Source organism: Homo sapiens, unplaced genomic scaffold, assembly GCF_000001405.40.
Source record: "Homo sapiens unplaced genomic scaffold, GRCh38.p14 Primary Assembly HSCHRUN_RANDOM_124".
Lineage (NCBI taxonomy): Eukaryota > Metazoa > Chordata > Mammalia > Primates > Hominidae > Homo > Homo sapiens.
This window is the reverse complement of record NT_187420.1, coordinates 118,955-131,624: the sequence shown is the minus strand read 5'-3', so window position 1 is coordinate 131,624 and position 12,670 is coordinate 118,955.

Genomic DNA, 12,670 nt, shown 5'->3' with positions numbered 1-12,670 from the left:
TGAATTTTGTCAAAGGCCTTTTCTGCATCTATTGAGATAATCATGTGGTTTTGATCTTTGGTTCTGTTTATATGCTGGATTACATTTATTGATTTGCCTATATGGACCAGCCTTGCATCCCATGCATGAAGCCCACTTGATCATGGTGGATAAGCTTTTTGATGTGCTGCTGGATTCAGTTTGCCAGTATTTTATTGAGGATTTTTGCCACAATGTTCATCAACGTTATTGGTCTAAATTTCTCTTTTTTGGTTGTGTCTCTGCCGGGCTTTGGTATCAGGATGATGCTGGCCTCATAAAATGAGTTAGGGAGGATTCCGTCTTTTTCTATTGATTGGAATAGTTTCAGAACGAATGGTACCAGTTCCTCCTTGTACCTCTGGTAGAATTTGGCTGTGAATCCATCTGGTCATGGACTCTTTTTGGTTGATAAGCTATTGATTATTGCCACAATTTCAGATCTTGTTATTGGTCTATTCAGACATTCAAATTCTTTTTGGTTTAGTCTTGGGAGAGTGTATGTGTCTAGGAATTTATCCATTTCTTCTAGATTTTCTAGCTTATTTGCATAGAGGTTTTTGTAGTATTCTCTGGTGGTAGTTTGTATTTCTGTGGGATTCGTGGTTATATCCCATTTATCATTTTTTATTGCATCTATTTGATTCTTCTCTCTTTTTTTCTTTACTAGTCTTGGTCGCGGTCTATCAATTTTGTTGATCTTTTAGAAAAAACCAGCTCCTGGATTCATTAATTTTTTGAAGGTTTTTTGTGTCTCTATTTCCTTCAGTTCTGCTCTGATTTTAGTTATTTCTTGCCTTCTGCTAGCTTTTGAATGTGTTTGCTCTGGCTTCTCTAGTTCTTTTAGTTGTGATGTTAGGGTGTCAATTTTGGATCTTTCCTGCTTTCTCTTGTGGGCATTTAGTTCTATAAATTTCCCTCTACACACTGCTTTGAATGCATCCCAGAGATTCTGGTATATTGCGTCTTTGTTCTCATTGGTTTCAAGGAACATGTTTATTTCTGCCTTCATTTCGTTATGTACCCAGTAGTCATTCAGGAGCAGGTTGTTCAGTTTCCATGTAGTTGAGCGGTTTTGAGTGAGATTCTTAATCCTGAGTTCTAGTTTGATTGCACTGTGGTCTGAGAGATAGTTTGTTATAATTTCTGTTCTTTTACATTTGCTGAGGATAGCTTTACTTCCAAGTATGTGGTCAATTTTGGAATAAGTGTGGTGTGGTGGTGGAAATATGTATATTCTGTTGATTTGGGGTGGAGAGTTCTGTAGATGTCTATTAGGTCCGCTTGGTGCAGAGCTGAATTCAATTCCTGAGTATCCTTGTTGAGTTTCTGTCTCGTTGATCTGTCTAATATTGACAGAGGGGTGTTAAAATCTCCCATTATTAATGTGTGGGAGTCTAAGTCTCCTTTTAGGTCACTCAGGACTTGCTTTATGAATCTGGGTGCTCCTGTATTAGGTGCATGTATATTGAGGATAGTTAGCTCTTCTTGTTGAATTGATCCCTTTACCATTATGTAATGGCCTTCTTTGTCTCTTTTGATCTTTGTTGGTTTAAGGTCTGTTTTATCAGACTAGGATTGCAACCCCTGCCTTATTTTATTTTCCACTTGCTTGGTAGATCTTCCTCCATCCTTTTATTTTGAGCCTATGTGTGTCTCTGCACATGAGATGGGTTTCCTGAATACAGCACACTGATGGGTCTTGACTCTTTATCCAATTTGCCAGTCTGTGTCTTTTAATTGGAGCATTTAGTCCATTTACATTTAAAGTTAATATGGTTATGTTTGAATTTGAACCTGTCATTATGATATTAGCTGGTTATTTTGCTCATTAGTTGATGCAGTTTCTTCCTAGTCTCTATGGTCTTTACATTTTGGCATGATTTTGCAGTGGCTGGTACCAGCTAATCTTTTCCATGTTTAGCGCTTCATTCAGGAGCTCTTTTAAGGCAGGCCTGGTGGTGACAAAATCTCTCAGCATTTGCATTTCTGAAAAGTATTCTATTTCTCCTTCACATATAAACAAGACAGAAGCATTCTCAGAAACTTCTTTGTGATGTTTGCATTAAACTCAGAGTTGAACATAACTTTTCATAGAGCAGTATTGAAAATCTCTTTTCATAGAATCTGCAAGTGGATATTTGGACTGCTTTGAGGCCTTTGTTGGAAACGGGAACATCTTCACATGAAAACAGGACACAAGCATTCTCAGAAACTACTTTGTTATGTGTGCATTCAACTCATAGAGATAAAGATACCTTTTCATAGAGCGGTTTTGAAACTCTCTTCGTAGAATCTGCAAGTGGATATTTGGACGGCTTTGAGGCCTTCGTTGGAAATGGGAATATCCTCACATAAAAACTAGACAGAAGCATTCTCCAAAACGTCTTTGTGATGTGTGCATTTAACTCACAATGTTGAACCTTTCTTTCTTTTGATAGAGCAGTTTTGAAGCCCTCTTTTTGTAGAATCTGCACATGGACATTGGGAAAGCATGGAGGCCTATAGTGGAAAAGGAAATATCTTCACATAAAAACTAGACAGAAGCATGCTCAGAAACTTCTTTGTGATGTTTGCATTCAACTCAGAGAGTTGAACATACCTTTCTTACAGCAGTTTTAAAACACTCTTTTCTTAGAATCTGCAAGTGGATATTTGCACTGCTTTGAGGCCTCCATTGGAAACGGGAAGATCTTCACATAAAAAATAGACAGAAGTATTCTCAGAAACTTCTTTGTGATGTGGGCATTCAACACACAGAGTTGAAACTTTTTCTTGATAGAGTAGTTGGAACACTCTTTTTGTGGAATCTGCAATTTGACATTTGGAGAGCTTTGAGGCCTATGGTGGAAAACGAAATATCTACACATAAAAACTAGACAGAAGCTTTCTCAGTGACTTCTTTGTGATGTTTACATTCGACTCACAAATTTGAACATACCTTTTCATAGATCAGTTTTGAAACACTCTTTTCGTAGTATATGCAAGTGGATATTTGGACTGCTTTGAGGCCTTCGTTGTAAACGGGAATATCTTCACATAAAAACTAGACATAAGCATTCTCAGAAACTTCTTTGTGATGTGTGCATTCAACTCACAGATTTGAACCTTTCTTTTCATAGAGCAGTTTTGAAACACTCTCGTCGTAGAATCTGCAATTGAATATTTGGACTGCTTTGAGGCTTTCGTTGGAAAAGGGAATATCTTGACATAAAAAGTAGACAGAAGCATTCCAAGAAACTTCTCTGTGAAGTCTGCATTCAACTCATAGAGTTCAACATACCTTTTTATTGAGCAGTTTTGAAACACTCTTTTCATAGAATCGGCAAGTGTATATTTGGACTGCTTTGAGGCCTATGGTGGAAAAGTATATATCTACAAAGAAAATCCAGAGAGAAGCATTCTCAGAAACTTTTTTCTGATGTTTGCATTCAACTCACAGAGTTGAACTTACCTGTTCATACAGCAGTTATGAAACACTCTTCTCGTAGAATCTGCAAGTGGATATTTGGAATGCTTTGAGACCTTCTTTGGAAACAAGAATATCTTCACATAAAAACATGATGGAAGCATTCACAGTAACTTCTTTGTGATGTGCGCATTCAACTCACAGAGTTGAACCTTTCTTTTGATAGAGCAGTTTTGAAACACTCTTTTTGTAGAATCTGCAAGTGGACATTTGGAGAGCTTTGAGACCTATGGTGGAAAAGTAAATATCTACACAGAAAATCCAGACAGAAGCATTCTCAGAAACTTCTTTTTGATGTTTGCATTCAACTCACAGAGTTGAACTTACCTGTTCATAGACCAGTTATGAAACACTCTTCTCATAGAATTTGCAGGTGGATATTTGGACTGCTTTGGGGCCTTCCTTGGAAACAGGAATGTCTTTCCCTAAAAACTAGACAGAAGCATTCTCAGAACCTTCATTGTGATGTGTGCATTCAACTCACAGAACTGAACCCTTCTTTTGACAGAGCAGTTATGAAAAACTCTTTTTGTAGAATCTGCAGGTGTACATTTGGAGAGCTTTGAGGCCTATGGTGGAAAAGGAAATATCTTCACATAACAACTGGACAGAAGCATTCTCAGAAACATCTTTTTGATATTTGCATTCCACTCACAGAGTTGAACACATCTTTTCAGAGAGCAGTTTTGAAACACTTTTCGTAGAATCTGCAGGTGGATATTTGGATTGCTTTGAGGCCTTCGTTGTAAATGGAAATATCTTCACATAAAAACTAGACAGAAGCATTCTCAGAAACTACCTTGTGATGCGTGCATTCAACTCAAAGAATTCAACCTTCCTTTTCATAGAGCAGTTTTGAAACATTCTTTTTGTAGGATCTGGAAGTGGACACTTGGAGAGCTTTGAGGTCTATGGTGGAAAAGGAAATATCTTCACATAAAAACCAGACAGAAGCATTCTCAGAAACTTCTTTGTGTTGTTTGCATTCAACTCATGGAGATGAACATGCCTTTTCATAAAGCAGTTTTGAAACACTCTTTTCGTAGAATCTGCAAGTGGATATATGGACTGCTTTGAGGATTTAGATGGAAACGGGAATATATTCACATAAAAACAAGACAGAAGTATTCTCAGAAACTTCTTTAGGATGTGTGCATTAAACTCATGGATTTGAACCTTTCTTTTGATAGAGCAGTTTTGAAACTCTCTTTTTGTAGAATCTCCAAGTGGACATTTGGAGAGCTTTGAGGCCTACGGTGGAAAAGGAAATATCTTCACATAAAAACTAGACAGAAGCATTTTCAAAAACTTCTCTGTAATGTTTGCATTCAATTCAAAGGATTGAACAAACCTTTTCATAGAGCAGTTTTGAAACACTCTTTTCATAGAATATGCAAGTGGATACTTGGACGGCTTTGAGGCCTTCGTTGGAAACGGGAATATCTTCACATAAAAACTAGACAGAAGCATTCTCAGAAACTTCTTTGTGATGTGTGCATTCAACTCACAGAGTTAAACGTAAGTTTTCATAGAGCAGTTTTGAAACACTCTTTTCGTAGAATCTACAAGTGGATATTTGGACTGCTTTGAGGCCTTCGTTGGAAATGAGAATATCTTCACATAAAAGCTGGAAACAAGCATTCTCAGAAACTTCTTTGTGATGTGTGCATTCAACTCATAGAGTTAAACATACCTTTTCATAGAGCAGTTTTGAAACTCTCTTTTCGTAGAATCTGCAAGTGGATATTTGGACTGCTTTGAGGTCTTCCTTGGAAACGGGAATGTCTTCCCATAAAAACTAGACAGAATGATTCTCAGAAACTCCATTGTGATGTGTGCATTTAACTCACAGATTTGAACCTTTCTTTTGATAGATCAGTTATGAAACTCTCTTTTTGCAGAATTTGCAAGTGGACATTTGGAAAGATATGAAGCCTAAGGTGGAAAAGAAAATATGTTCACATAAAAACTAGACAGAAGCCTTCTCAGAAACTTCTTTGTAATGTGCACTTTCAACTCACACATTTGAACCTTTCTTTTGATAGAGCTGTTTTGAAATACTCTCTTTGTAGAATCTCCAAGTGGACATTTGGAGAACTTAGAGGCCTACTGTGGAAAAGGGAATATCTTCCCATAACACTAGACAGAAGCATTCTCAGAAACTTCTTAGTGATGTTTACTTTCAACTCACAGAGTTGAACATACTTTTTCATAGTGCAGTTTTGAAACACTCTTTTCGTAGAATCTGCAAGTGGATATTTGAACTGCTTTGAGGCTATTGATGGAAACGGAAATATCTTCACATAAAAACAAGACAGAAGGATTCTCAGGAACTTCTTTGTGATGTGTGCATTAAACTCACAGATTTGAACCTTTCTTTTGATAGAGCTGTTTTGAAACTCTGTTTTGTAGAATCTCAAAGTGGACATTTTGAGAGCTTTGAGGCCTATTGTGGAAAAGGAAATATCTTCACATAAAAACTAGATAGAAGCATTCTCAGAAATTTCTTAGTGATGTTTGCATTCATCTCAAAGAGTTGAACAAACCTTTTCATAGAGCAGCTTTGAAACACTCTTTTCATAGAATATGCAATTGGATATTTGGACTGCTTTGAGGCCTTCGTTGGAAATGGGAATATCTTCACATAAAACCTGGAAACAAGCATTCTCAGAAACTTCTTTGTGATGTGTGCATTCAACTCATAGAGTTAAACATAACTTTTCATAGAGCAGTTTTGAAACTCTCTGTTTGTAGGATCTGCAAGTGGATATTTGGACTGCTTTGAGGCCTTCCTTGGAAACGGGAATGTCTTTCCATAAAAACTAGACAGAAGCATTCTCAGAAACTTCATTGTGATGTGTGCATTTAACTCACAGAATTGAACCTTTGTTTTGATATAGCAGTTATGAAACACTCTTTTTGTAGAATCTGGAAGTGGTCATTTGGAAAGATATGAGACCTAGGGTGGAAAAGAAAATATCTTCACATAAAAACTAGACAGAAGCATTCTTAGAAACTTTTTTCTGATGTTTGCATTCAACTCACAGAGTTGAACATACATTTTCATAGAGCAGTTTTGAAACACTCTTTTCTTCGGATCTGCAAGTGGATATTTGCACCGCTATGAGGCCTTCGTTGGAAACGGGAATATCTTCACATAAAAACTAGACAGAAAAATTCCCAAAAACTTCTTTGTGATGTGTGCATTAAACTCACAGAGTTGAAACTTTCTTTTGATAGAGGAGTTTTGAAACACTCACTTTGCAGGATCTGCAAGTGGACATTTGGAGAGCTTTGAGGCCTATGGTGGAAAGGAAATATCTTCACATAAAAATTAAACTGAAGCATTCTCACAAACTTCTTTGTGATGTCTGCATTTAACTCACAGTGTTGAACATACTTTTTCATAGAGCGGTTTCAAATCACTCTTATCCTTGTATCTGCAAGTGTATATTTGTACTGCTTAGAGGCCTTCATTGGAAACGGGAATATCTTCTCATAAAAACTAGGCAGAAGCATTCTCAGAAACTTCTTTGTGATGTGTGAATTCAACTCACAGAGTTGAACCTTTCTTTGGTAGAGCAGTCTTGAAACAATCATTTTGTAGGATCTGCAATTGGACATTTGCAGAGTTTTGAGGCCTATGGTGGAAAGGAAATACCTTCACATAAAAACTAGACAAAAGCATTCTCAGGAACTTCTTTGTGATGTTTGCATTCAACTCACAGAGTTGAAGATACCTTTTCATAGAACAGTTTTGAAACACTCTTTTCGTAGGATCTGCAAGTGGATATTTGGACTGCTTTGAGGCCTTCGTTGTAAACGGGAATATCTTCACATAAAAACTAGAAAGAAGAATTCTCAGAAACTTCTCTGTGATGTGTGCATTCAACTTACAGAGTTGAACCTTTGTTTTTATGGAGCAGTTTTGAAACACTCATTTTGTAGGATCTGCAAGTGGACATTTGCAGAGCTTTGAGGCCTATGTTGGAAAGGAAATATCTTCATATAAAAAGTAGACAGAAGCATTCTCATAAACTTCTTTGAGAATTTTGCATTCAACTGACAGAGTTGAACATACCTTTTCATAGAGCAGTTTTGAAACACTCTTTTCGTAGAATCTCCAAGTGGATATTTGGACTGCATTGAGGCCTACGTTGTAAACTGAAATATCTTCACATAAAAACCAGACAGAAGCATTCTCAGAAACTTCTTTGGGATGTGTGCATTCAACTCACAGATTTAAACGTTCCTTTTGATAGGACAGTTTTGAAACACTCTTTTTGTAGAATCTGCAAGTGGACATTTGAAAGGCTTTGAGGCCTGTGGTGGAAAAGGAAATATCTTCACATAAAAACTAAACAGAAGCATTCGCAGAAACTTCTTTGTGATGTTTGCATTCAACTCACAGAGTTGAACATACCTTTTCATAGAGCAGTTTTGAAACACTCTGTTCTTAGAATCTGCAAGTAGATATTTGGACTGCTTTGAGGCCTTCTTTGGAAACGGGAATATCTTAACATAAAAAGCGGACAGAAGCATTCTCAGAAACTTCTTCGTGATGTGTGCTTTCATCTCACAGAGTTGAACCTTTCTTTTGATAGCATAGGTTTGAAACACTCTTTTTGTAGAAACTGCAAGTGGACCTTTGGAAATATTTGTAGCCTATGGTGGAAAAAGAAATATCTTCACAGAAAATCCAGACAGATGCATTATCAGAAACCTCTTTGTGATGTTTGCATTCAACTCACAGAGTTGAACATACCTTTTCATAGATCAGTTTTGAAAAAGTCTTTTCGTGGAATCTGCAAATGCGTATTTGGACTGCCTTGAGGCCTTAGTTGTAAATGGGAATATCTTCACATGAGAACTAGAAAGAAACATTCTCTGAACCATCTTTGTGATGTATGCATTCAACTCACAGAGTTGAACATTTCTTGTCATAGAGCAGATTTGAAACACTAATTTTGTAGAATCTGCAAGTGGATATATGGAGAGCTTTGAGGTCTATGGTGGAAAGGAAATATCTTCACATGAAAACTTGACAGAAGCGTTCTCAGAAACTACTTTGTGATGGCTGAATTCAACTCACAGAGTTGAACATACGTTTTCATACAGAAGTTTTGAAACACTCTTTTTGTAGAATCTGCAAGTGGATATTTGGACTCTGTGAGGCCTTCCTTGGAAACGGGAATATCTTCACATAAAAACCAGACAGAAGCATTCTCAGAAACTTCTTTTTGATGTTTGCATTCAACTCACAGCATTGAACATACCTTTTCATAGAGCGGTTTTGACACACTCTTTTCGCAGAATCTGCAAGTGGATATTTGGACTGCTTTGAGGGCTTTGTTGGAAATGGGAATATCCTCACTTAAAAGCTAGACAGCAGCATTCTCAGAAACTTCTTTGTGATGTGTGCATTCAACTCACAGAGTTGAACCTTTCTTTTGATAGAGCAGTTTTGAAACTCTCTTTTTGTACAATCTGCAAGTGAACATTTGGAGAGTTTTAAGGCCTACAGTGGAAAAGGAAATATCTTCACATAAAAACTAGACAGAGGGATTCTCAGAAACATCTTTGTAGTGTTTGCATTCAACTTACAGATTTGAACATACCTTTTCATAGAGCAGGTTTGAAACACTCTTTTCTTTTTTTTTTTTTTTTTTTTTTTTTTTTTTGAGACGGAGTCTCGCTCTGTCGCCCAGGTGGGACTGCGGACTGCAGTGGCGCAATCTCGGCTCACTGCAAGCTCCGCTTCCCGGGTTCACGCCATTCTCCTGCCTCACCCTCCCGAGTAGCTGGGACTACAGGCGCCCGCCACCGCGCCCGGCTAATTTTTTTTTGTATTTTTAGTAGAGACGGGGTTTCACCTTGTTAGCCAGGATGGTCTCGATCTCCTGACCTCATGATCCACCCGCCTCGGCCTCCCAAAGTGCTGGGATTACAGGAAACACTCTTTTCATAGAATCTGCAAGTGGATATTTGGACTGCTTTGAGGCCTTCGTTGGAAAAAGGAATATCTACACATAAAAACTAGACAGAGGCATTCTCAGAAACTACTTTGTGATTTGTGCATTCAACTCACAGAGTTGAAACTTTCTTTTGATAGAACAGTTTTGAAACAACTTTTTGTAGAATCTGCAAGTGGACATTTAGAAAGCTTTGAGGCCTTTGGTGGAAAGGGTAATGTCTTCACATAAAAACCAGGCAGAATAATTCTCAGAAACTTCTTTGTGATGTTTGCATTCAACTCACTGAGTTGAACATACCTTTTCATAGAGCAGTTTTGAAACACTCTTGTCATAGAATCTGCAAGTGGATATTTGGACAGCTTCACGGATTTTGTTAGAAACGGGAACATATTCACATTAAAAAACAGACAAAAGCATTCTCAGAAACTTCTTTGTGAGGTGTGCATTCAACTCACAGAGTTAAATCTTTCTTTTGATAGAGCAGTTTTGAAACAATATTTTTGTAGTATCTGCAAGTGGACATTTGGATAGCTTTGAGGCTTATGGTGGAAAAGGAAATATATTCACATAAAAACTAGACAGAAGCATTCTCAGAAACTTCTTTGGATGTTTGCATTCAACTCACAGAGTTGAACATACCTTTCATACAGCAGTTTTGAAACACTATTTTCCTAAAATGTGCAATTGGATATTTGGACTGCTTTGAGGCCTTAGTTAGAAAAGGGAATATCTTCACATAAAAACTAGACACAAGCATTCTCAGAAACTTCTTTGTGATGTGTGCATTCATCTCACAGAGTTCAACCTTTGTTTTGATAGAACAGTTTTGAAACACACTTTTTGTAGTATCTGCAAGTGGACATTTGGAAAGCTTTTAGGCCTATGGTAGAAAAAGGAAATATCTTCACTTAAAAACTGGACAGAATTAGTCTCAGAAACGTCTTTGTGATGTTTGCATTCAACTCACAGAGTTGAACATACCTTTTAATAGAGCAGTTTTGAAACACTCTTTTCGTAGAATCTGCAAGTGGATATTTGGACTGTTTTTAGGCCTTCGTTGGAAACGGGAATATACTCTCATGAAAACTAGACAGAAGTATTCTCAGAAACTTCTTTGTGATGTGTGCATTCAACGCACAGATTTGAAACTTTCTTATGATAGAGCAGATTTGAAGCACTCCTTTTGTAGAATATACAGGTGGATATTTGGACAGTTTTGAGGCCTTCATTGGAAACGGGAGTATCTTCACATAAAAACTAGACAGAAGCATTCTCAGAAACTTCTTTGTGATTTGTGCATTCAATTCACAGATTTGAACATAACTTTTTATAGAGAAATTTTGGAAAACTCTCTTCGAAGTATCTGCAAGTGGATATTTGTACTGCTTTGGGGCCTACGTGGGAAACGTGAATAACTTCACATAAAAACTAGTCAGAAGCATTCTCAGAAACTTCTTTGTTATGTGTGCATTCAACTCACAGATTTGAACCTTTTTTTGATAGAGCACCTTTGAAACATTCTTTTTGTAGAATCTCCAAGTGCACATTTGTAGAGATTTGATGTCGAAGGTGGAAAAGGAAATATTTTCACATAAAAATTAGACAGAAGCATTCTCAGAAATTTCTTTGTGATGTTCGCATTCACCTCACCGAGTTGAACATATCTTTTCATAGAGAAGTTTTGAAACCCTCTTTTCGTAGAATCTGCAAGTGTATAGTTTGACTGCTTTGAGACCTTCGTTGGAAACTGGAATATCTTCCCATAAAAACGAGACAGAAGCATTTTCAGAAACGTCTTTGTGATGTTTGCATTCAGCTCACAAAGTTGAACCTTTCTTTTGATAGAGCAGTTTTGAAACACTCTTTTTGTAGAATCTACAAGTGGACATTTGGAGAGCTTTGAAGCCTATGGTGGAAAAGGAAATACGTTCCCATAAAAAACTACACAGAAGCATTCTCAGAAACTTCTTTGTGATGTTGGCATTCAACTCGCAGGGTTTAACATACCTTTTCATAGAGAAGTTCTGAAACACACTTTTCATAGATTCGGCAAGTGGATATTTGGACTGCTTTGAGGCCTTCGTTGGAAACGGGAATATCATCCCATCAAAACTATACAGAAGCATTCTCAGAATCTTCTTTGTAATGTGTGCATTCAACCCACAGAGTTGAACATTTCTTTTCATTGTGTAGTTTTTAAAAACTTATTTTGTAGGATCTGCGAGTGGATATTTGGAGAGCTTTGAGGCCTATGGTGGAAAGGAAATATCTTCACATAAAAACTGGACAGAAGCATTCTCAGAAACTTCTTTGTGATGTTTGCATTCAACTCACAGAGATGAACATACCTTTTCATAGAGCAGTTTTTAAACACTCTTTTTTTAGAATCTGTAAGTGGATATTTGGACTGCTTTGGGCCCTTCGTTGGAAAAGTTAATGTCTCCACATAAAAACAAGACAGAAGGATTCTCAGAAACATTTTTGTCATGTGTGCATTCAACTCACACAGTTGAACATACCTTTTCCTTTTTTTTTTGTTTCTTTTATTATTATACTTTAAGTTTTAAGGTACATGTGCACATTGTGCAGGTAAGTTACATATGTATACATGTGCCATGCTGGTGCACTGCACCCACTAACTCGTCAGCTAGCATTAGGTATATCTCCCAATGCTATCCCTCCCCCCTCCCCCCACCCCACAACAGTCCCCAGAGTTTGATGTCCCCCTTCCTGTGTCCATGTGATCTCATTGTTCAATTCCCACCTATGAGTGAGAATATGCGGTGTTTGGCTTTTTGTTCTTGCGACAGTTTACTGAGAATGATGATTTCCAATTTCATCCATGTCCCTACAAAGGACATGAACTCATCATTTTTTATGGTTGCATAGTATTACATGGTGTATATGTGCCACATTTCCTTCATCCAGTCTATCATTGTTGGATATTTGGGTTGGTTCCAAGTCTTTGCTATTGTGAATAGTGCCGCAATAAACATACGTGTGCATGTGGCTTTATAGCAGCATGATTTATAGTCCTTTGGGTATATACCCAGTAATGGGATGGCTGGGTCAAATGGTATTTCTAGTTCTAGATCCCTGAGGAATCGCCACACTGACTTCCACAGTGGTTGAACTAGTTTACAGTCCCACTAACAGTGTAAAAGTGTTCCTATTTCTCCACATCCTCTCCAGCACCTGTTGTTTCCTG